Source organism: Homo sapiens, chromosome 8 (assembly GCF_000001405.40).
Source record: "Homo sapiens chromosome 8, GRCh38.p14 Primary Assembly".
Lineage (NCBI taxonomy): Eukaryota > Metazoa > Chordata > Mammalia > Primates > Hominidae > Homo > Homo sapiens.
Window position 1 is genome coordinate 138,143,522 of NC_000008.11, and position 26,755 is coordinate 138,170,276.

At 41.7% G+C, this 26,755-nt stretch overlaps 1 protein-coding gene across 18 annotated transcripts in view; it reads right to left on the minus strand.

Annotated features, from left to right (window-relative positions):
* FAM135B (family with sequence similarity 135 member B) overlaps positions 1-26,755 on the minus strand; it is a 367,708-nt gene that overhangs the window by 13,499 nt on the left and 327,454 nt on the right. For 15 of the 18 annotated variants that reach the window (XM_011517062.2, XM_011517061.3, XM_011517063.3 and 12 more), the window contains 4 exons: positions 24,374-24,528; positions 7,673-9,695; positions 4,999-5,177; positions 2,438-2,529 (listed from right to left, as the gene is read on the minus strand). In XM_011517062.2, coding sequence (XP_011515364.1) covers positions 2,438-2,529; positions 4,999-5,177; positions 7,673-9,695; positions 24,374-24,528 — 2,449 coding nt within the window. The remainder of the gene's footprint in view (positions 1-2,437; positions 2,530-4,998; positions 5,178-7,672; positions 9,696-24,373; positions 24,529-26,755) is intronic. The other 3 variants (NM_001362965.2, NM_015912.4, XM_047421814.1) reach the window with 1 other exon arrangement.

A 26,755-nucleotide genomic window follows, 5' to 3' on the forward strand; every position in this document is an offset into this window, starting at 1 on the left:
TTTCTGTGGCATAGCCTTTAGAGTATGCAGTCAGCTTTGGGAAGGATCGTAAAGTCACCCACGTCTTAGGATGGATGGTTGAAGGATCCAGGAGATCAAAGGAAGAGGAGGAATGCCACACATGTCCTTGAATATTTGAAGGGCAGCAACAAGGAAGATATATTAGATTGGTTTCTATAACCTCAAGGACTAACTTTTAGAAACATGAATTAGAGTCAAAGAGAAATAGATTTGGGGCCAATATCCAAAAATGTTTGAAAAGTTCCTCATATGTGGAGCTGTCTATAACACCATGGGCTGCCAAGAGCTAGGAAAAGTGAATAGGATGTCTCACAAATGTCTATCCTGTGAAGAAAGGAGTACGTGTTGGAGGATAGGAGTGGTGAAGAGAAGACCTTTACGAGTCTCTGTCACCTGCCATCCAATGAGCTTTGAGGCGCGAGAGAATAAAGCATACTGCTAAGACTTCCTGGAACAAGAGAGAACCATAAGCTCTTCTGCTTATGGGATCTGTGCCCTGGACCTGTTGCTTCCCATCTAAACCTCAGTCTCCTTATTTATTACAGGGGGATAGTGTCACCACCTCCTTAGTGCCATGTTAAAAATTAGGTAAAATAGGCCAGGCGCAGTGGCCCATGCCTGTAAACACAGCACTTTGGGAGGCCAAAGCAGGCAGATCACGAAGTCAGGAGACCAAGATCATCCTGGCTAACATGGTGAAGCCCCATCTCTACTAAAACTACAAAAAATTAGCCGGGCGTGATGGCACGCACCTGTAGTTCAGGAGGCTGAGGCAGGAGAATCGCCTGAACCCAGGAGGTGGAGGTCGCAGTGAGCTGAGATCGCACCATTGCACTCCAGCCTGGGTGACAGAGCGAGACTCCATTTCAAAAACAAACAAAAATAGGTAAAATATACCTAATAGAGATGCTGCTTTTTTTTCTCTAACTTTTCAGAGCCTATTTCCTCATCTATAAAATGTTAATTCAACATATACATTATTTAAACAAGTGGCTATAATTATGAGGCCTGAGTTGACCATGATGAGCTATGCTTTGGAAATCACAGTAGGTTTAAAAAGTAATATCAGGAACTCCCCAGCCAAGGCGTTTAAATCTATATTAACATATACTGCAAGTGGACCTGCTGATGAGACAACTTTCAAAAAGTAACAACAATGAGTGCATAATCAGTACTGAGTGGCCAACTCCTGCAATTAAGTGAATTGTGTAAAGGTCCAGCTCTAAAGACCTGAGGTTTCCAGGTTGAACCCAGCAGCCATGAAGCCGCATCAGAGAGTTGCTGGATGTGCACACCCGGAAGGATTACTTCCTCACCAGATCTCTCTTGCTAACAATTCTTATCTTCCCTGAAAAGAAAACCTCACTAGCACAAATCACAAACACAAAGTGAGCAAGTGCTGCTCACTCACTTCCCTGCTCCCTCCTCTGACTGGCCTGGTTATCCTATTTTATTTTAGTTTAGTTTAGTTTAGTTTTATTTTATTTTTTGAGACAGGGTCTTGCTCTTTCACCCAGGCTGGAGTGCAGTGGTGCAATCACAGTTCACTGCAACCTTGACCTCCTTGGGCTCATGTGATCCTCCCACCTCAGCCTCCCAAGTAGCTGGGAATACAGGCACACACCATCACACCAAGCTAATTTTTGTATTTTTTGGAGAGAAAGGGTCTCACTTTGTTGCCCAGGCTGTTTTTGAACTCCTAGGCTCAAGCGATCTCACTGCTTTGGCTTCCCAAAATGCTGGGATTATAGGTGCGAGCCACCGCGCCCAGCCATCCTCTCTGAATACTGCATCAGATTTGTTCACGTATTAAAGTTGGGTGCACACAGGAATTACCTTCCTGGAGATCATATATAGTATCCTCCTCTCCAGCACAGCCTGACATGGACCCTGCCTAACTCCCAGAAGCTGTGTTCCCTGTCCTGTGAGGAGATGGTGGTATCAATGTGTGATAGAACTGCCATGAAGATAAAATGGGGAAACAGGTACGGAGTACTCAGATGCTCCAAAAAGTCATTCTCTTCTCTCTCCGTCAACATCTATACCTCTGTGTACTGCATGGTGCACAACTTTGTATAGAGCAGGTGCCCAAGTAAAGGCAGCAGAACTGAGCGCCAACAGTTAGGAAGGGAGTCATTATCCAAATAATTGATGCTCTCACTTGCCACCCACCCTAATGCCCTGTGAGGGCAAAGGCTCCCGTCAACCGATACACATGTTCTCATTTCTTACCGTTTCCTCTCCCTCCCGAAATAAAACAGTCTCTTCTTTCCAACCCATCCAAATGCCTGGCCAGCATCTCTTTTCAAGGTCTCCTCCTATCTGTGTGTGTCCATAAATTATCATGGTGCATTTAGGAGGCTCATATAAGCATGCATCCAGGGTTCTTCCAGTTCTGATATTTGTATCATCATACCTGATTCTTTTCAGACATTAGGAAGTCCAGTTTTCCTCCAGGGAGCCCCAGTTCTATGAAAGTCTTTACCAGCCGGAGGTCTGCACTGTTCCCTAAAAATGACAGATAACCCCCATCCCAGTCCCGTAGTTAGTCATATAAAAGGTTGACACACGAGGAATTTCTTTCTCTCTCCCTCTTTCCCCATTTCTACTGGGTTTTGTCACTTTTGGTTAAGTAGATAATATAAACAACTAAAACAGCTAGAAACCCCGGCTCTCCTGTTACCCCTTGGCCCCCCACACTCAGAGTCTGGTTCTTTCTAGCGGTCCCACCTCGATAGAGTTATCCCTGATCTGTGAGCATGTGGCTTGTGAACACTCTGCATACAGGAACAGTGGGAGATACACCACCTCCCCTTCTTCCACAGCAAATTCCATTTTGCAAGCAGTTCTTTCGAATGGCTGATGGGGCACAATGCGACTCATACGAGCCCCATCTTCAGTTACTTACTTAAAAGGAAGACTATCTAGTGCTGCCTTTTCTAGGTAATCTGCAAGCCTCCCTACCTCCCAACTGGCCAATCATGGCACAGTTATCTAAATAGAATAGGACTGTCTCTTGGGAACAAGAGACATGGCAGAGCAAGCTCTACGGAGGCACAGCAGTGGCCATCGGGGCAGAGGAATGAAAGGTTAAGAATGCAAGGTTATCAAGGCACAAAGAATACAGGAAATGCATTCCCAAAATAAAAGTCATGTGAAAAAAAAATGGATTTACTACGACAGAATAAGGTTTATATGAAGTATAGTGAGGCATAAATTTAATGCTGGCCGTAGGGGTTCAATTGTGTCTTAATAAATTTTTGTCCTATTTCTTAAAAGTTCCCTGTACAGTTGAAAGTTAGAAGCTGGGTATTTGGATATATAAATTACCTACTTTGTCATGTAAATATACCCCACAGGTCATAGTTCCAAAATAGTTTGTTAACTGTGAGTGACAAATATCATTCTTTATGAAACTACCCAATGATTCAAAGGAGGGTGAAAGTGCCACACGGAATTGGGGGAAGTCCAGGTGTTTGGAGTTATCTCTAATGCTTAAGGATGACTCAGATATGCCCATACGCCCCCTATGTTGGTGGCCTGTCAGAGTACATGCCCAAACTTGTAGAGTCACAGTCATAAAATGGTCATTTTTTTAAAGGAAATCTGTGCATTTTGTGTTATGAGGTTAATTATTATTCATTCCCTCTTTCATTTTTGTCAGTAAAATTAGGCTCTTTGGTCCCACTGTTTCTATTGTTTAAAGTTCCCTAATGATATGCCAGGGCCTGCCTTAGGAAAAAAAAAAAAGCTGCAAGTGTTTATATTCAGCATTAAGTGTTAAGTAATGGGTAGAAATGGCCCCCTCTCCTTCAGCTACTGAGGGAAAGAGAACTTTCTGCAACTTAAAATTTTCTCAGAAAATATGATTTAATAAGGTGTTATTAATAAACTGAGAACATTTATAAGAATACGAATCTTGAGGTTTTTGTACAACATGAAGAGTTGTGTAAATATTCATAACTGTTATCAATGTGCTCCGCTCTCTGTTAATACAAATAAGCCCTTGGAAATTGAATTTGAACAAGTGGATCCTGAAAATTCTGCAGAGTTTAGACATATGCACCTTGAACTAGAGAAGTCATCTTCCAAAGCACCCTATGCTTGGTATCGGTTGTGGTTTTCATGACTTGTTGCCCAGTTGATAATGTGATCTATGGCTCCGTTTTCTGACAGTACAAAAGGGGTGAAGCAGCTCTATCTTTATAACATTCCTCATCTTTCACATGCATGATGGAAAAAAAAATTGCCTATAACCTGATCCGATTTCTTATTTTAACAAAGTTATTGAGAGTCTTATCTCATTTTACTTTAGTGTCATATACATGAGAGGAACAGACTGGTCATGCATGACATCGAGCTGATGAGTGAGAAAGTTTTTTTGTTCCTGCAAATCCCAGAACCTAGCAAAGTCCCTGGTATACAAAAGGTATCCTATAAGTGGGAGGTAAATAAACATAGGTAGCAAGATAGTCTGGGCCACTAACCTGAGCTCCTCAAAATGAATACATTTATTCATTCTTCTCCATTTCTTCCTTTATTCAGACCATTGTATTGACTCATGAATTCCATGAATTCATGGATTCAAATTACTGTATTCATGCACTTCATTAATATATTCATTCCCATAATACATTAATTTCATTAATTCATTCACTCCATTCTTTCTTTCACTTTGACACTCATTGTATTCATCATTTATTCCATTTATTTATGTATTGATTTATTCCATTCACTCCTTCGCTACATTTATTCATTCATTCATGTATTTTATTTACTTAACAGGTTTTTTGTGACAGAGAGATATTTTCTTCAACAGCAAGCCATACCATTTCCTTAGATTCATCATAATTACTGTCATTCCACAGTTGCTAATTGAACATTCTGTTGAATGAATACCTCATCTAAATTAATACATAAATATTATAAGTTGTATATATGACAGAATTTGGGAAGAAAACTTGTTTTAGAACTCACCATCCAGGCCATGGACACAGACAACCAGGTGAATTCCATCTTCCAAATTTTCTTCCTCTTCCTCTGGTGGGAAATATGGTATATCAGAAGCTAGTACAGTTAAGTCACTGTACAGAAATCCTTCAATCTTCAGTTCTTTTTTAAATTTTTCTTTGGCCTGATAAAAACTGGAGAATACACTAATTAATCACAAGCCAAGCTGTGTACTTCATGTTGAACAGGAAATGAGCTGGGCTGGTATGTAGAAGGGCTGAGCACCCACAAGCAAAGTGCCTGCTGAGTGGCAAAGCTGACTTGAGCCCCCAGGGAACATGCTAGTGAGTGAAGCTTTGTTCTGAACAAGGAGGCAGGAAAGCACTCTATAAAAACCAAACACCGCATGTTCTCACTCATAGGTGGGAATTGAACAATGAGAACACTTGGACACAGGAAGGGGAACATCGCACACCGGGGACTGTTGTGGGGTGGGGGGAGGGAGGAGGGATAGCATTAGGAGATATACCTAACGTAAATGACGAGTTAATGGGTGCAGCACACCAACATGGCACATGTATACATATGTAACAAACCTGCATGTTGTGCACATGTACCCTAAAACTTAAAGTATAATAATAAAAAAATAAATAAATAAATAAATAAATAAAATTTTAAAAAGAGAAAACCAAAAACAAAAAAACCCCGAAGCTTCTATGGGTTTTGGTTCTGCAGATGCTTATGTGATTCCTGCATTGAACAGGAGACAGAGTGACAGGACATCAAAGATTCTACCCAGCTCCAAGGCCCCATGCAATCTTTAAAAAGTGAAAGCTTCTTGACTTGATTGACACCCAGGCCCTCCATGGCTTGGCCTTCCCCTGCTTCTCTAGCACCACTCCTCACCACTCCCAGCCTCCACAAATAACACATTTCTTATAATTCTCTGCATGAACTACATGACTTGGCTTTACTTCCATGCCTTGGTGCCTGAGGGCCTGTGTGCCTGAAATGCCTTTCTCACTTAGCTATGATGCTCTTTGTCTGGTTACCTGGCAAGATGATGGTTAGGGGACTGGACTCTGGAGTCAGACTGCCAAGGTCAGAATCTCAAATTTGACACTCACTATTTCTTGTTATTATCTGTTATTAGCCTCATCATCATCATCATCATCATCACCATCATTGTCTCATATTTTCTTCTCAGAGTAGATGCCATCTTCTCTAGGAAGCTTTGCCTGGCTGCTATCCCTATTCACACCCATTTCCCCAAGCCAAATTAGGTGCTTCTCCTTTTGGCTCCACCACGCGCACATGAAACATCATATTTACCCAGTCACTGCCCTCATCTACTTCTCTCATGTGTCTGTCTCTCCGTTAGACTGCAGGTACAATAAAAGCAAGGGAAACCCTGACCAGGCAGGCACTGGACAGCATCTACTATGTCTGCTGTGTACTCATGGAATTAATGACAAGTACCATATGATAGGTAGTTAACATTCTTTATAAAACAAAAATCCAATGTTTACCTGCCTGTGGCAATTTCTTTTGGAGACACCGTTAATATGTAACTCTTTAGCATTTTGCAAAAGGGTAAAGAAGATGGGATGTTTTGACAAAATGATTCTATTATATACATAATCAGATATATAGTTTATAGATGGGAGAGCAATATGAATACAAACCCAATACAAGGATGAGGAAATGAATTCTGGCATTACAAAGGTAAACTTAGAAGCCCCACAATGTTAAAGGGTGCTTGGGAGTCAAATCTGGTGAAGAATTGTATTCCCCAAAGGCTCTCAAAGAACTCCCCTTTCAAAACATGAAAAGGTAGAGGTACAATGATATTCATAAGAGAGTTATAATATTCGTAATAAAAATTGAACAAAATTGGCGGGGTACTGTGGCTCATGCCTGTAATCCCAGCACTTTGGGAGGCCCAGGCGGGTAGATCACGAGGTCAAGAGATCGAGACCATCCTAGCCAACATGGTGAAACCCCGTCTCTACTAAAAGTACAAAAATTAGCTGGGTGTGGTGGTGGGTGCCTGTAGTCCCAGCTGCTTGGGATGCTGAGGCAGGAGAATCACTTGAACCCAGCAGGCGGAGGCTGCAGTGAGCAGAGATTGCGTCACTGCACTCCAGCCTGGCGACAGAGTGAGACTCTGTCTCAATAAATAAATAAATAAATAAATAAATAAATAAATAGTTGAACAAAATTTAAAGGTTCATTTGTAAAGAATTTGGTTAATAAGTCATGGTATATTCATGCAATAGAATATTGTGTAATCATTACAATGATGATGCAAACATAGATTTATAAACATAGAAAGATATTTCTAATATATTATTAAATTAAACATTTACAATTGCCATTTGTACAGAATGGTCTAATTTTTGTATAAAAAGCATAAATCAATATAGATTCACATAGAAGAAATGCAGAAGAATATACACAGTGGTTACATTTGAAGGTAGACTTATTGACCATTTTTACTTCCTTTCAGTATTCTGCATTTTAAATTCCTATGATATGAATTAAATATATATGATATATTATCTATAATATGGTATATTACCTTATTTAAATCAGAAAATCACAGATATCTAAATTTTGAAACAGTATGCATGAAATGGAGAAATATGTGGAAAAATCTAAAAGACTGTTGTGGGAAAGGTAAGCCCGTCAGCCAGCTTACCTAAACATCCTCTCACTGACTTCCTCATCCAACGTGCTGGAATGGGTAGAAACAACTCCAAAGGATCCCAAAGGCTGATGGGTGATGGGAAACAGGGTCTGTTTGGAAGAGAATCCAGCCCTGGCAGGGGTCTCCTTGGGCACAGATGAGAAAGGGAGACAGGTGGCAGTGCAAGACACAGATAAGTTCACAACCTCCACAGCCTTCAGGCTGTCCAGAGTAAAGGTCTCTGCAGAAGTCAGATGGGACCCCATGATGGAAGTGCCTGCCTTCAGCTCTTGGTTTTTCAAAACCTGGGAATGAACGGAATGGGTCACAGTGGGGCACACAGTGCCTGCTTTATGTTTAGCCTCCGGGAAGGCATTCACTCCTCTATTAAATGCTGTGTCATCCATAATGCAAGGTGAACCGCTTTGGCTTTGCTGGCCTGTTGAGTTCCTGTTGATGGCATCAGCAGCTGACGTACAGCTCAATTCAGGCACCTGATGTTGAGAGAGACCCTCAACCTCTGAGATGCCACTGTTGGAAAGAGCTTGCTGACCCACATTCAAGTCTTTAGGCATGCCCTTTGGGGTTTCCTCAAGTGCTCTATGAAGAGATCTGGTCCTGGGGTTTTCAAGTGCTATGACGCGTGGTATTTTTAAATTAAGACCTTTGGTTTCAACACCTGGAGTGTTCTCAGTCCTGCCATCAGGAAGACAGTGTCCTTGAGCATCAAACTGCTTCCCTTTCCCTTTGGGGATGTCTATGTATCCGGGGCCCTGCTGGTTGTCAGCATCTAAAACTATCTCCACCAGGGGATGGTCTGCTCCAGCATCTGTTCCAGAGTCACCACAAAGTTGAGAGCAAGATCCTGGGGAACCTTGGCTCTTGCTGTGCATATCTGAAGGTTCAGCAAAACCTCCATCTTGCTGCTTGGTGTCCGCATCTTCAGCAGCCTCCTCTGGGCTACTGATGTGGGGAGCAGATACAGACTTGGTTAACTTAGTGAGTGCCACCTCCCGCTCATCCTCCTCAAAAGGTAAAGAGCTAATGGAGGTGAGAGAAGCCTGGATGCCGCTTGGCAAACTTGTGTTACTTTCTGTGTGTCCACCCTCTAGGGAGTTCCGGTGGAGGGCATGTCTTCGAACAAACGGGTGCAAGACTTCCCGATCACTGGGCAACTCCAGAGCCCTGCTTCGGGCCTCTGACCAGGCGACGGAGCTTGGCTCACTCTCAATGCCTGAATCAGATATGATGGATGAAGATCTCTTGATGACCCCGGATAGCACTGAGAGTTCCTCCTGCTCTTCTGTGTGAGAGTCCTTTAGGGAAGACCTAATATCTAAGGGCTCCCTCAGGGTAGAACTTAGTGGATCACAGGGCTCAGAGGGGGTGAGTTTCAAGCTTAGCAGCACCATCTTCCCCTCTTGATCTATTCCCTTTCCTAGAGTACTTAATTCATGGAGAGTTGTTTTGTCTGAAGAGATGGCATTTTGGTGGCTTCCACCTACTACCACTTTGCTTAGCCCAGTCCTGTCTAATCCATACTTATCTCTAGAGCTCCTACTCTCATGCTGAGCATTGAAGGCCACCAGGGGTTCAGCTCTGGAGGGGTTCTTATTGCTAGATTTTACGTCAATGTAGGTCAGCACTGGGGCCTGTCCATCCTCTGGACCTGGACTCCTTCTAGAAGTATCCACATCTGCCACTGGATATGTCCCAGCATCAGATGTTTGGCCAGTCCAACATTCATCTTCAGGCACACCTGCTTTGTTTTGAAATTCACCAATTGATATATACACCTGAGATTCAGAGCACATGTCCATATGATTTTGTGTGGCCACATTCTCACCTGGCTCTGGACACCTTATAACTTCTTCATCAGAATCCATTTGGGATGGTTTTATGGTAGACAAGACAAGGTCTTCCCTAAAAGATAAATTGCTATTTACCATACAGTTATCTTCCTTGTCTTTCAGATTCATTATTGTAGGACTTGTCACTGGAACATCAAAATTAGGATAAACACTCAAGTTATGCCCTACAAAAAAAAAAGAAAGAAAATTATATTATAGTGTAAGAATCTGTGTTTACAAGTTATCCAAATGTCTAACTGTATAATAAAGAATTTAGCTATGTGGACTCGGTTCGAAGATGGGAGAATAGGAAGAGCTCCAGTCTACAGCTCCCAGTGTGAGCGATGCAGAAGACGGGTGATTTCTGCATTTCCAAGTGAGGTACCGGGTCCATCTCATTGGGACTTGTTGGACAGTGAGTGCAGCCCACGGAGTGTGAGACAAAGCAGGGCGGGGCATCACCTCACCCAGGAAGTGCAAGGGGTCAGGGCATTCCCTTTCCTAGCCAAGGGAAGCCATGATAGATGGTACCTGGAAAATCAGGACACTCCCACCCTAATACTGCACTTTTCCAACTGTGTTAGCAAACGGCACACCAGGAGATTATATCCCGCACCTGGCTTGGAGGGTCCTACACCCATGAAGCCTAGCTCACTGCTAGCACAGCAGTCTGAGATCGAACTGCAAGGCAGCAGCGAGGCTGGGGGAGGGGTGTCCACCATTGCTGAGGCTTGAGTAGGTAAACAAAGTGGCCAGGAAGCTCAAACTGGGTGGAGCCCACCACAGCTAAAGGAGGCCTGCCTGCCTCTGTAGACTCCACCTCTCGGGGCAGGGCATAGCTGAACAAAAGGCAGCAGAAACTTCTGCAGACTAAAACTTCCCTGTCTGACAGCTTTGAAGAGAGTAGTGGTTCTCCCAGCACGGAGTTTGAAATCTGAGAACAGACAGACTGCCTCCTCAAGTGGGTCCCTGACCCCCGAGTAGCCTAACTAGGAGACACCTCCCAGTAGGCACTGACTGACACCTCACACAGCTGGGTGCCCCTCTGAGACGAAGCTTCCAGTGGAAGGATCAGGCAGCAACATTTGCTGTTCTGTAATATTTGCTGTTCTGCAGCCTCCACTGGTGATACCCAGGCAAACAGGATCTGGAGTGGACCTCCAGCAAACTCCAAAAGACCTGCAGCTGAGGGTCCTGACTGTTAGAAGGAAAACTAACAAACAGAAAGGACATCCACACCAAAACCCATCTGTACGTCACCATCATCAAAGACCAAAGGTAGATAAAACCACAAAGATGGGGAGAAACCAGAGCAGAAAAGCTGAAAATTCTAAAAATCAGAGTGCCTCTTCTCCTCCAAAGGAACACAGCTCTTCACCAGCAACAGAACAAAGTTGGATGGAGAATGACTTTGAGGAGTTGACGGAAGTACGCTTCAGATGATCGGTAATAACAAACTTCTCCAGGCCAAAGGAGGATGTTCAAACCCTCCATAAAGAAGGTAAAAACCTTGAAAAAAGATTAGACAAATGGCTAACTAGAATAAACAGCATAGAGAAGACCTTAAATGACCTGAAGGAGCTGAAAACCATGGCATGAGAACTACATGACACATGCACAAGCTTGAGTAGCCGATTCAATCAAGTGGAAGAAAGGGCATCAGTGATTGAAGATCAAATGAATGAAATGAAGTGAAAAGAGAAGTTTAGAGAAAAAAAGAGTAAAAAGAAATGAACAAAGCCTCCAAGAAATACGGGACTATGTGAAAAGACCAAATATACATCTAATTCGTGTACCTGAAAGTGACGAGGAGAATGGAACCAAGTTGGAAAACACTGTTCAGGATATTATTCAGGAGAACTTCCCCAACCTAACAAGGCAGGCCAACATTCAAATTCAGGAAATACAGAGAACTCCACAAAGATATTCCTTGAGAAGAGCAACTCCAAGACACATAATTATCAGATTCACCAAAGTTGAAATGAAGGAAAAAATGTTAAGGGCAGCCAGAGAGAAAGATTGGGTTACCCACAAAGGGAAGCCCATCAGACTAACAGTGGATCTCTCAGCAACAACTCTACAAGCCAGAAGAGAGTGGGGACCAATATTCAACATTCTTAAAGAAAAGAACTTTCAACCCAGAATTTCATATCCAGCCAAAGTAAGCTTCATAAGTGAAGGAGAAATAAAATCCTTTACAGACAAGCAAATGCTGAGAGATTTTGTCACCACCAGGCCTGCCTTACAAGAGCTCCTGAAGGAAGCACTAAACATGGAAAGGAACAACCAGTACCAGCCACTGCAAACACATGCCAAATTGTAAAGACCATCGATGCTGGGAAGAAGCTGCATCAACTAACGAGCAAAATAACCAGCTAACATCATAATGACAGGATCAAATTCACACATAAGAATATTAAACTTAAATGTAAATGGGCTAAATGCTCCAATTAAAAGACACAGACTGGCAAATTGGATAAAGAGTCAAGACCCATCAGTGTGCTGTATTCAGGAGACCCATCTCATGTGCAGAGACACACATAGGCTCAAAATAAAGGGATGGAGGAAGATCTACCAAGCAAATGGAAAACAAAAAAAAACAGGGGTTGCAATCCTAGTCTCTGATAAAACAGGCTTTAAACCAACAAAGACCAAAAAAGACAAAGAAAGCCATTACATAATGGTAAAGGGATCAATTCCACAAGAAGATCTAACTGTCCTAAATATATATGCACCCAATACAGGAGCACCCAGATTCATAAAGCAAGTCCTTAGAGACCTACAAAGAGACTTAGGCTCCCACACAATAATAGTGGGAGATTTTAATACCCCACTGTCAATATTAGACAGATGAACGAGACAGAAAGTTAACAAGGATATCCAGAACTTGAACTCGGCTCTGCACCAAGCAGACCTAATAGACATCTACAGAACTCTCCACCCCAAATCAACAGAATATACATTCTTCTCAGCACTACATCACACTTATTCCAAAACTGACCAAATAGATGGAAGTAAAGCACTCCTCAGCAAATGTAAAAGAACAGAAATTATAACAAACTGTCTCTCAGACCATAGTGCAATCAAATTAGAACTCAGGATTAAGAAACTCACTCAAAACCGCTCAACTACATGGAAACTGAACAACCTGCTCCTGAATGACTACTGGGTTCATAATGAAATGAAGGCAGAAATAAAGATGTTCTTTGAAACCCATGAGAACAAAGACACAACATACCAGAATCTCTGGGACACATTTAAGCAGTGTGTAGAGGGAAATTCATAGCACTAAATGCCCACAAGAGAAAGCAGGAAAGATCTAAAATAATCACCCTAACATCACACTTAAAAGAACTAGAGAAGCAAGAGCAAACACATTCAAAAGCTAGCAGAAGGCAAGAAATAAGTAAGATCAGAGCAGAACTGAAGGAGATAGAGACACAAAAAACCCTTCAAAAAAATCAACGAATCCAGGAGTTGTTTTTTTGAAAAGATCAACAAAATTGATAGACCTCTAGGAAGACTAATAAAGAAGAAAAGAGAGAAGAATCAAATAGACACAATAAAAAATGATAAAGGGGATATCACCACCAATCCCACAGAAATACAAACTACCATCAGAGAATACTAAAAACACCTCTACGCAAATAAACTAGAAAATATAGAAGAAATGGATAAATTCCTGGACACATACACCCTCCCAAGACTAAACCAGGAAGAAGCTGAATCTCTGAATAGATCAATAACAGGCTCTGAAATTGAGGCAGTGATTAATAGCCTACCAACCAAAAAAGTCCAGGACCAGACGGATTCACAGCCAAATTCCACCAGAGGTACAAGGAGGAGCTGGTACCATTCCTTCTGAAACTATTCCAATCAATAGAAAAAGAGGGAATCCTCCCTAACTCATTTTATGAGGCCAGCATCATCCTGATACCAAAGCCTGGCAGAGACACATCGAAAAAAGAGAATTTTAGACCAATATTCCTGATAAACATCAATGCAAAAATCCTCAATAAAATACTGGCAAACAGAATCCAGCAGCACATCAAAAAGCTTATCCACCACGATCAAGTTGGCTTCATCCCTGGGATGCAAGGCTGGTTCAACATATGCAAATCAATAAACGTAATTCATCATACAAACAGAACCAAGGACAAAAACCACATGATTATCTCAATAGATGCAGAAAAGGCCTTTGACAAAATTCAACAGCACTTCATGCTAAAAATTCTCAATAAACTAGGTATTGATGGGACATATCTCAAAATAATAAGAGCTATTTATGACAAACCCACAGCCACTATCATACTGAATGGGCAAAAACTGGAAGCATTCCCTTTGAAAACTGGCATAAGACAGGGATGCCTTCTCTCACCACTCCTACTCAACATGGTGTTGGAAGTTCTGGCCAAGGCAATCAGGCAGGAGAAATAAATAAAGGGTATTCAATTAGGAAAAGAGGAAGTCAAATTGTCTCTGTTTGCAGATGACATGATTGTATATTTAGAAAACCCCATTGTCTCAGCCCAAAATCTCCTGAAGCTGATAAGCACCTTCAGCAAAGTCTCAGTATACAAAATCAATGTGCAAAAATCACAAACATTCCTACACACCAATAACAGACAAACAGAGAGCCAAATCATGAGTGAACTCCCATTCACAATTGCTTCAAAGAGAATAAAATACTTAGGAATCCAACTTACAAGGGACATGTAGGATCTCTTCAAGGAGAAACTACAAACCACTGCTCAATGAAATAAAAGAGGACATAAACAAATGGAAGAACATTCCATGCTCATGGATAGGAAGAATCAATATTGTGAAAATGGCCATAATGCCCAAGGTAATTTATAGATTCAATGCCACCCTCATCAAGCTACCAATGACTTTCTTCACAGAATTGGAAAAAACTACTTTAAAGTTCATAGGGAACCAAAAAGGAGCCCGCATTGCCAAGTCAATCCTAAGACAAAAGAACAAAGCTGGAGGCATCACACTACCTGACTTCAAGCTATAGTACAAGGCTACAGTAACCAAAACAGCAAGGTACTGGTACTAAAACAGAGATATAGACCAATGGAACAGAACAGAACCCTCAGAAATAATACCACACATCTACAACCATCTGATCTTTGACAAATCTGACAAAAACAAGAAATGGGTAAAGGATTCCCTTTTTAAATAAATGGTGCTGGGAAAACTGGCTAGCCATATGTATAAAAGCTGAAAATGGATCCCTTCCTTACACCTTATACAAAAATTAATTCAAGATGGATTAAAGACTTAAATGTTAGACCTAAAACCATAAAAACCCTAGAAGAAAACCTAGGCAATACCATTCAGGACATAGACATGTGCAAGGACTTCATGACTAAAACACCAAAAGCAATGGCAACAAAAGCCAAAATTGACAAATTAAACTAAAGAGCTTCTGCACAGCAAAAGAAACTACCATCAGAGTGAACAGGCAACCTACAGAATGGGAGAAAATTTTTATAATCTACCCTTCTGACAAAGGGCTAAGATCAAGAATCTACAAAGAACTTAAACAAATTTACAAGAAAAAATCAAACAACCCCATCAAAAAGTGGGCAAAGGGTATGAACAGACACTTCTCAAAAGAAGACATTTATGCAGCCAACAGACACATGAAAAAATGTTCATCATCACTGGCCATCAGAGAAATGCAAATCAAAACCACAATGAGATACCATCTCACACCAGTTAGAATGGTGATCATTAAAACGTCAGGAAACAACAGGTGCTGGAGAGGATGTGGAGAAATAGGAACACTTTTACACTGTTGGTAGGACTGTAAACTAGCTCAACCATTGTGAAAGACAGTGTGGCGATTCCTCAAGGATCTAGAACTAGAAATACCATTTGACCCAGCCAAACCATTACTGGATATACACCCAAAGGATTATAAATCATGCTGCTATAAAGACACATGCACGGCCGGGCGTGGTGGCTCACGCCTGTAATCCCAGCACTTTGGGAGGCCGAGGCGGGTGGATCATGAGGTCAGGAGATCGAGACCATCCTGGCTAACAAGGTGAAACCCCGTCTCTACTAAAAATACAAAAAATTAGCCGGGCGCGGTGGCGGGTGCCTGTAGTCCCAGCTACTCGGGAGGCTGAGGCAGGAGAATGGCGTGAACCCGGGAAGCGGAGCTTGCAGTGAGCCGAGATTGCGCCACTGCAGTCTGCAGTCCGGCCTGGGCGACAGAGCGAGACTCCGTCTCAAAAAAAAAAAAAGACACATGCACACATATGTTTATTGCGGCACTATTCGCAATAGGAAAGACTTGGAACCAACCCAAATGTCCATCAATGATAGACTGGATGAAGAAAATGTGGCACATATACACCATGGAATACTATGCATCCATAAAAAAGGATGAATTCATGTCCTTTGTAGGGACATGGATGAAGCTGGAAACTATCATTCTGAGCAAACTATCGCAAGGACAGAAAACCAAACACCACATGTTCTCACTCATAGATAGGAATTGAACAATGAGAACACCTGGACACAGGGTGGGTAGCACCACACACCAGGGCCTGTCGTGGGGTGGGGGGAGGGGGGAGGGATAGCATTAGGCAATATATACCTAATGTAAATGATGACTTAATGGGTGCAGCACACCAACATGGCACATGTATACATATGTAACAAACCTGCACATTGTGCACTTGTACCCTAGAACTTAAAGTATAATTTTAAAAAAAAGAATTTGGCTTTTTTTCATTCCTAATTCCTAAGAGATACTCTCTGGATTCTTAGAATTTCTCAAATGATAAAGAGTGTCTTTGGTATTTATGGGGTCTTGATAATTTATGCTAACCAGGGACTCATGATGCATGCTTAAACACTATATGCTAATAAGTTAGTTCAGGATAGAGGTTGGCCATGCTGGAAAGACCAATCATGTGACTAGAGAGTTAAGACATTCAGTCAAGTAATACTAGCCTGATTTCTGGGAAAGAGTGGCCTGGAGATTGATTTTGGTTACAATTAACCCCCGATAAACACTCTGAATTCTGAGGCTTAGATGAGTGTCTCTAGTGATGACACAGACTGGTGTGCCTGGGGGGTGGTAAGTCCTGAGGGCACAGAAGGTTTATGTCTGAGACCCCTCAGACCTCATCCTATGGATCTCCTTTTTGACTGGATGTTACTTGTATAATAAAAATGCGATCAAATTTATGACGCTTTCCTGAGTTCTGGGAGTCATTCTAACAAATTATTGAACCTGAAGGCTTATGGAAACCCACAATTTATAGCCAGTTGTTCAGTATATGGGTGGCCTGGGAACCCCTGAGCTGGTGTCTGGTTTTATTTATTTATTTATTTATTTATTTTTTCTTTTGAGATGGAGTCTCGTTCTGTGGCACAGGCTGGAGTGCAGTGTCTCCATCTTGACTCACTGCAATCTCCACCTCCCAGGTTCAAGTGTTTCTCCTGTCTCAGCCTCCCAAGTAGCTGGGATTACAGGCACATGCCACCATGCCCAGCTCATTTTTTTTTTTTTTTGTATTTTAGTGGAGATGGGGTTTCACCATGTTGCCCAGGCTGGTCTCGAACTCCTGAGCTCAGGCAATCCACCCGCCTCGGCCTCCCAAAGTGCTAGGATTACAGGCGTGAGCCACCACACCCAGCCTGGTGTCTGATATTTAAAGGTCAAGTTCATCAAGGATTGTGCCCTTAGATGGTGAAGTTTGATCTCTGGGTAGTTAGCGTCAGAACTGCACTGCACAAACAAAAAGCTGTCAAAACCTGTCATCCATTAAGTTTTAACTTATCAAAGTATGTGTAATAATCCCCATTTGTAAATATCAAAGCATTTCTCCATCTTATGCACAATACTTACAGAGTAAAAGACAGCTTTAGAGCCAGAAAAGCCTGATTTTCAATTCTGACATTGCCATTTACCAGCGATGAGACCTTGGACAACTATGGAACTTAGATAAGCTATTATCCTATTAGAGGTCACTTTGCTCAACTCTACAATGGGAAGATTCAAAATAAACTTCATGCTCTACAGTCATAAATCAAAGTAGAGTTATGATACAAGATGATGTTACACCTGGGGAAGACAGATTTCTACTTTCTCAGAAAAATACTGCCAAGCTTGAATTCTATTCAGAGAAACTCTCCTTTGTGGCACTCAGACCACAGGAAAGCTCCCAGAACCATTGTGATCTTCATAATCAGATGGTGGGGAGCCAAAGATGATCTTTTCCTATTTTTATTTAGGTAAGCCATTATCTCTCTCAATCTCTTCTCAATCTCTTATCTCTTCTTCCCTTTCTTCTCTCTCCCTCTTTCTCTTTCTCTCTGCCTCCCTCCTTTCTAAGAATTCGTAACTGGACAAAAACAATAACCTCTCATGTCTGTCTGTATCATGGCTGTCATGAAATAGTCGTGTGACATATTATTCAATTTACATATACACCAAACAAAAAAAAGGACTGGATTTTTATTTTCTTTAAAAAGTTTAAATCCTCCACATGGTCTTAGCAGAAGTTAAATCAATGCAATCACTATTGAATGTGACCATGAAGTAAACCACTGAGACACTACATAGCTAACTGCAGGAAGCATTAAGACATGATGCCTTTGAATGAAGTTTATGATTGCAGCAAGGAAATAACGGATCTCTTCCTTACCAGGGCGCATTCTTTGCACCTTAAGAAACTGTGAACAAACTTGCCTCTCTCTACAATACCCTTCCCACGACCTACCGCAAGTTAGACCTTCTCTAAGAAATTCCGAGCCTCCCTTCTACTTACATGCAGTGTGATATATCCTATTGCCATACTATGATCTGTTTGTGCATCTGTTGTCAAGTCTAGAGAGAAGAGTTGGTGTTTTGTGAATTTCTATAGCCCCAAGGCTAGCATCATGGCTAGTACATAGGTGATGAATTGAGAATAGAACAGAATTCCAACAAAACAAATAATAATAAGCTCATTATTGTTTGCATTGGTTTGAAAAAATTTGCTTCAATATCATTTAGTCCCACACACAGTACTTTGACATATTCTATGTGAAAAATCCCTATCCTAGGCAGTGGCTTAGGAGGAGGGAAAGTGAGTACTAGTTATAACAGTGAACCAGGCTCTGCCTTTAAGGGATTTGCAAAATATTGGGAAACATATACAGATACAGCTATCTCTTCTGCCAAAATAATGTGGACTATGGCAAACCTATGAAGATAGTAAAAACACCAGTGGTTGCCAGGCACGGGGGAGAAGGCAGGATAAATAGGCTAAGCACAGAGGATTTTTCGAGCAATGGAACTACTGTGTATGATACTATAAGAGTGGATGCACGTCACTCATTATACGTCTGTCCAAACCCATATAGAATGTGCAACATAAAGAAGGAACCCTCGTGCAAACTAGGAACTTTGGGTGATAATGACACGTCAGTAGAGGTTCATCTGCTGTAACAAAGGCACCACTCAGGTAGGAGATGTTGATAATGAAGAAGGCTATGCATGTGAGGGCACAGGAGGTATGTAGGAAATCTCTGCACCTTCCTCTTTATTTTCCTTTACTGGGAACCTGAAATCTCTTTTAAAAAGTCTTTAAAAAATGAAAAAAGAATGGGACTGCTGGGGAATATGAAATGAGCTTCTTCAGAAAAGGTGGGAATGAGCCACACTAAGCACAGGGAGCAGCATGGGCAAAGGCCCAGAAGGCTGGGCACACTCTGCTCCAGCTTTGGTTCATTCCCACGTGGATGGAACAAGAGTGAGGTATGGGGTGTATGACGTCAGACAGAGAGAGAGAACCCACGCCATAGAAAAACTTGAATGCCTTGTATAAATGAGTCATCTGGTCTTTATACCACAGGTCATAGATTCTTGGAATTAAAAAAAAATTTTATCAGATTCATCACAGACAGTTAAGACAGGAAACAGAAAGTGCAGAAAGTAAGTCAGTTGCCAAAATAGCAAATAATTAGTTTCACTATTGCAACTATAGAAAAATGAAAGTAGCAGAAGATCTAATTGAAAGAGAATGGATTTAGAGTCAAATACTAATGAATAGTGTTAGTTAACGTGCATTCAGAATGCCTTTATGCCAGTTGCTCTTTTAAGTGTTTTATGGACTGATCAATCCACTAGTCACAGCAATCCCCTGGAGGAGAAATTACAACCCCTTTTGCCCAATTTCACACGGTTAATAATTGTTAGGGGGAAAGACTCAAAACCAGACAATCTGACAATCTGGCTAACTCTTCAGGCTTTAGGCGAACCTCCCAATTGTCTTGGGATAGAGAGGCATGGTGTGGGTGTTGGGGGAGCAGAGACAAAGACAGATATTGCAGCGTGCCTGGCACATGGCACATGTTTAGGCCATGTGATATGGTTTGGCTGTGTCCCCACCCAAACCTTATCTTGAATTGCAGCTCCCTTAATTCCCATATGTTGTGGGAGGGACCTGGTGGGACTTAATTGAATCATGGGGGCAGTTTCCCCCATCTGTTCTCGTGCTCGTGAATACACCTCACAAGATCTGATGGTTTTATAAAGGGAAAACCCTTTCACTTGGCTCTCATTCTCTCTTTGCCTGCTGCCATGTAAGACGTGCGTTTCACCTTCCACCGTGTGATGCCTCCCTAGCCACGTGGAACTGTGAGTCCATTAAACCTCTTTTTCTTTATAAGTTACCCAGTCTTGGGTATGTCTTTATCAACAGCATGAGAACATACTAATACACCATGAACAAATGCTATTGTCACAGACCATGAACAAATGCTATTATGGCTTTTGTTAGTTGTTTTTTCCTTTTAGAGACAGGGTCTCACCTGTCACCCAGGCTGGAGTTCAGTGACAGGAGGCACGGTCACAGCTCACTGTAGCCTCAAACTCCTGGGCTCAAGCAAACCTCCCACCTCAGCCTCTCGAGAAGCTTGGACTACAGGTGTGAGCCACCATGCCCAGCAAATGCTATTATTTTAACATAGAAATGGAAATCTTTTATTTCCCTTTTTTCCTTACACTAGAAGAATGGAATATAATTGTATCTGATAACGTCATGGCAAGGCGTAAGTATTAAGGTCACTGGGTTCTTGAGGGAAGAGAAAATAGTTCTTTATCACTCATGCTTTTGATCTGGGGTTAAAGAATCATCAAAATGCTTTGTGAGAGATCAAGGAGTTCAAGAAAAGCTTCCAGTATGGAGAAGGGGTACAGATATTTCTGTAAAAGTAGTCTGAGGGATAGAGAAGGCTCAGGTCAGAGGTCCATGGAGAGAAGCCTGGAGAAGAGAGACCCGCCTCTGAGAGTGACTGCCTTTGTTCTTCCAGGAAGATGAGTGCACCTGCACTGTGCCGGAGTCCCAGCCTCAAGCTCAACACAGAAGCTGCAAAGAGAGGCTGGTCCTAAAATATGACATTGTGAAAGGAAAATATCTTGAGGCCCCCAAAATCACTAAGCTAAAGGGAAAAGCCAAGCTGGGAACTGCTTAAGGCAAACCTGCCTCCCATTCTATTCAAAGCTACCCCTCTGCTCACTGAGATAAATGCATATCTGATTACCTCCTTTGGAGAGGCTCATCAGAAACTCAAAAGAATACAACCATCTGTCTCTTATCTATCCATTACCTGAAAGCCCCCTCCCCGCTTAGAATTGTCCCGTCTTTCCACACTGAACCAGAGTTCATCTTATGTATCTTGATTGATGTCTCATGTCTCCCTAAAATGCATAAAACCAAGCTGTGCTCTGACCACCTTGGGTACATGTCGTCAGGACCTCCTGAGGCTGTGTCACGGGTGCATGTCCTCAACCTCAGCAAAATAAACTTTCTAAATTAACTAAGACCTATCTCAGGTTTTTGGGATTCACAACATAAATATGGATAACCAATGGATTAGAGGAACCACACGTTCGGACAATCTTAGAAAGATCTTCTGCAACCATGTCTTGTTGCTGTTTGACTCCAGGGCACTGACGTGAGAGGTGGTGAGAAAGGAGTGAGCAGAGAAGCCCCAGAAAGACTGAGGTTGATTTTCCAGCTGATATTGCAGGATGGAGGCGCAGAGAGGGAATGAATTTATTTATTTATTTAATTGATTTTTTTTTTTTTTTGAGACGGAGTTTCACTCTTGTTGGCCAGGCTGGAGTGCAATGGCGGGATCTAGGCTCATCACAACCTCTGCCTCCCAGGTTCAAGCGATTCTCCTGCCTCAGCCTCCCGAGTAGCTGGGATTACAGGCATGTGCCACCACACACGGCTAATTTTGTATTTTTAGAAGAGATGGGGTGTCTTCATGTTAGTCAGGCTGGTCTCGAACTCCCGACCTCAGGTGATCCACCCGCCTCAGCCTCCCAAAGTGCAGAGATTACAGGTGTGAGCCACTGTGACTGGCCAAGGGAACTAATTTATTAAAAAAATAGAGATATGTGTTATAACTTCACCTGTGAGTTGAGGGACTGAGATTCATATTCACAAGAATGTATGTTAATATGTGCAGAAAAAAAGACTGGAAGACAATCTGCAACAAAACCTAATAATGATAATACTAGAGGATCTGCTAGTGGGCGATTAATTTAAATTTCTTCTCCAACAGTTCAGATTCTCTGTAGTTAAATCATGTAACTCTAATGAAGATGCACTTACATATTAATATACATGCATACCTATGTATGCATACATACACATACATATATATGCAAACACACATACATACATGCACACACACACCTCACAGAAGAAAACGTCTCAGTGTCATGTTTTAAACTTGTTTTGACCAGTTGGTTTGGAGGCTCTCTGGCCTGTACACTTTATAACTGCCATACACTATACTGACACTAGATGTCAGGGTATAACTGAGAACCAAATAACCGTATATTTGCAAGGTTGCACTGCCCTTGGAAGTCACTTGGATTTTTAAAATATCCTACAAGTCTCAGGTAGCAGAATCTTTGAAATTTAGCCATTTTAAAGCATCATTTAAATGATGGGCACCTAAACATGATGATTTAAAACTTGCACAGACAGCGAGGCAGAGCACAGACTTTGGAATCAGAGTTGGCGTTGAACGTCGGCTTTAATAAGCCTTGTGATCTTTAATACATGCTTATACTTAGTGCCTCAGATTCTCTCTGTGGCATTGAGTTTGTGAGGTTGTTTATAGGATTAAAGAGATAAAACACCCAAAACCTCCAGCACAGAGCCTGATGTTTTTCTGATCCTCGAAGGGACACAGGACAATTTAGCTTGTTGGGTTTCCAGGAGCAGGGCCGTGGGGCAGGACAAGAAACGAGCCTTGACCTCTTGCCCACTCCCCACTTGACCTCTCAGTCCATTAACAAACTCTGTGTGAAAGCATGTGTGAAAGCAGCAAAACAGGTTGCACTCTGGATACATATACACAAACAATACACACAAACATGTGATCTTTTCCTCCTGAAATGAATCATTCATCTATTAATCCATATACGGTAAGTCCTCATTTAACATCATCAGTAGGTTGCTGGAAACACTGACCTATAACACAATTAAAAGGATGTATAACAGAACCAGTTTTACCATAGGCTAATTGATATAAACAAGAGCTAAGTTCCTATGGCATATTTCTGATCCCCAAAACATCATTAAACTTACAGACTTAAAACACTTCTAATATTAAACCCTGAAGTAAATCTGAGATATACATACATTTAAGAACAATTAATAAAAACAAATAATGATTTTCCCAGTATTTGGTGACTCGATGAGTGACGGCAGTTGTAGTGGTGGTGGGTTAGATCAAAGAATAAATGTCTGCAAAGTGAAATTGTAAGGAGCACATCCTACCAACCTGTAGTTCACAATCAATCAGGAATATGGTAGCTCGCTGAGTGCTTCCATACTTTACCCTTTCCTGTTGGTTCAGGAAAACAAATCAGCCTGGAGAAGATACCATCCCATTGTAGGACTCAGCCCTGGACAAGACACCATCCCATCTCAGGGCGCACTCACACATACCCACACTCACTCTGACCAGGATGATGTATACACACCAATTCACCTAATGTGCACAGCTGTAGACCATGGGGGGAAATCAAAATACCTGGAGAAAAAACACCCAAGCAGACAGGGGGATAATGTGCTAACTCCATACAGACAGTTGCCCAAATGGCCAATGCCTTTATTTGTTATTATTATTTTTTTATTTTGAGGGGATGGAGTCTTGCTTTGTTGCCCAGGCTGGAATGCGATGGCGAGATCTCGGTTCACTGCAACCTCTGCCTCTTGGGATCAAGCGATCCTCCTGCCTCAGCCTCCCAAGTAGCTGGGATTACAGGTGTCCGCCACCACGCCCAGCTCATTTTTGTATTTTTAGTAGAGATGGGGTTTCTCCATTTTGGCCAGGCTGGTCTTGAACTCCTGACCTCAGTTGATCTGCCCACCTCGGCCTCCCAAAGTGCTGGGATTACAGGCGCGAGCCACGGCGTCCAGCCTTTGGCCCAATGCCTTTAAAGTTCACCTGGAAATCATATTTATTTGAATGGCACATTTGAGATAAGAAAGAATCTTCATCTGACTTTCATGTCACTCTGGTGTGGGGGTGGGCAGGCTGTGGTGCCCATTTTGCAGGTGAAAACGCTGAAGCACTACGTATAATTCCACTCCAGAAGGAGTCAGGGAGGAAGTCTTTCATGGTTATTTTGTTAGATCGTTTTGTCTATTTCATGGAAACAAAGTCATTTCAAACCATTACTTTGTTTCCTCTCTATGAACTGACATAATCCTTCATTAATTTGGTCTCACTTTTGCTGGAATATAAACAAACTGTGCCATTGTCAGAATCCCACTGGAAAGCCTTATTCCTGAGTCTTTCCAAAACAAAACAGACAAACCTGTCGCAGGGCAGTCCACGTATCTGTCCTCAAAGATCACCGGCAGGGTGTTCCAATCGCCGTCGATGTCCAGGCACTCTGCAGGCAGCGGGGGCATGCTAGTGAGGTACTCCGAGTTCCGGATATCCAGGGACAGCTGGCTGTGCGTCTGTATCCTGGGGAGCACATGGCAGGGTGAGCGTCCAGGGAAGAGTCAGAGGTTTCCAAACCGTTGCCCCCTCTTCCTAATCCCGGGAAAATACTCGGTTCTCAGCTGACTCTGGCAATTGTCTGCCCATCATCCTTTTCTTCCACCCACCTACTTAGCCCCCAGAGCCATAGTCTGCTTTGTTTTGGAACTGGCTGAGGTGCTGAAGTTAGAGGACATGGATTGTAGGATTAGCAGAAACTTGACAAGAGTATTTATCATCGACCATTTTAGTGGAATATAATAAATACCACATTAGTGGAAAGCAAGCTGAGTTTTTAAATGACTAGAAATTTAGAAATTTTAAATTAGCATTTTGAAAAAAATGTAAATGTATGTATCTTTTACTCTTTTCTTACTTCTTAGACCACTTAGGATCTGGTCATATTTTGGCATATTTGAATTAAAACCTATCTAAAATACCTTTTCTATTGATTATTACATGGATAGTGGCATCCTGGATGAAGGTATAAATTTCCCTAGATCAAGGGCCATATTTTTTGGTTTCCCCTGTAAGATGAAGAAAAAATGTCCCATATTCTTTCTTTATGACATATATATCCTTCCATCAACAGGAATTCAATTCCAGAGTTTGGAATAATCACCATTCCTAATTCGAAGGCTGGGGTGGTAGAAAGTGTGTATTCCCTTCTCATCAAGTTTCTACAGTAGGGGAAGAGTTTATTTTACTCTATAAAGGAAAAAGCATGAACATTTCATCATTTTTTTCCATGCCAACTCAATCACTCTTCCCTCAAGGGAAGAAGGAGCCTTACGGAGTCTATGAGTTTTGGGAAGACTTGAGCTTGCAGAGCTAGATTATGTGTGTCTGTCCATCACTCTTGTTGGAGCAGCTCGGCCTCTGGAAGCCCCCCTTCTCCAGTCTTGTAGACCAGCTGCCTGTAGAAGAGCTTTGTAGCTGTGAAACTCTGCACAGACTCAAAGCAAATTCTCAAACTCAGCATTCTCAGTAACAGATGCAATGAAGATAAATGTATGGAAATATATAATATTTATGTATGTATATTTCATATAATATACATAGTGAATTTACATATTAACTATGATTTCATATACATATCTATTTAATATACATATTAAATATGTATATTTTGTTTCCTTCTCATTTTTCAATTGGATCTTAACCCACCACAAGGGAAGGGTTATTTTCTCTTCATCAAAGCCCTGAAGGCTGCTACAACTTCATAACTCTGAATTCTCGGAATATTTAACTCTTTAAATGTTCTTCTCTGAATATTTAACTCTTTAAATGTTCTTCTCTGAATATTTAACTCTTTAAATGTTCTTCTCTGAATATTTAACTCTTTAAATGTTCTCTGAATATTTAACTCTTTAAATGTTCTCTGAATATTTAACTCTTTAAATGTTCTTCTCGGATTATTTAACTCTTTAAATGTTCTTCTCGGAATATTTAACTCTTTAAATATTCTTCTCAGCATATTTAACTCTTTAAATATTCTTCTCAGCATATTTAACTCTTTAAATATTCTCATCTGAGTGTTTAAATGGAGTTTTATTGCACTCAATTCTGTACCTTTTGCCACCTTCTGAATCTGGAACTTCTGGACCAGTTTTGGTTTTATTAGAAAATATGCTGAGCACCTGTGAACTTAGGCTGGTGTGCACAGGCTGGGAAGTACACCTAGAGGATTGCAGCTTGATTTTAGGTCGAACAAGCCAACATTCATGAAAAAAACAAGCGATTAAGCAATATAGCAGGACAGGTGTGGGAGAGTCTGGTCTAAGTTATGTTATGCAGGCTGTGATCTAGGGAAATGCAGCTTCTTGAGCACAGGGCTTTCGTGAATGTGACCAAGTACCTAAAGCAATGCCTAGCAAGTGTTGAAAAACTGACTGAAAATGCTAAAGGGTACATAGGAATCAGCGCCTATCTCTGATTGCAGGAAACTGAGGAGTCTGGCTCTAGGCCAAAATCCTGTGCATGACTTCTCAGACCCAACCATAGGCAACTGCAAGGTTTTGCTAGGCAGGCCTCATGGGAGAAGCTTCCCTGCCATCCTTAAATTTGATGCACAGCCAGTGCAGTGTGGCTGTCTGGAGGAAGTTGCAGGATAGTTGTGTCATGCAAGTTGTAACTAAGACACTGTTACTATCTTTTTTTTTTTTTTTTTTTTTTGAGACAGAGTTTCGCTCTTGTTGCCCAGGCTGGAGTG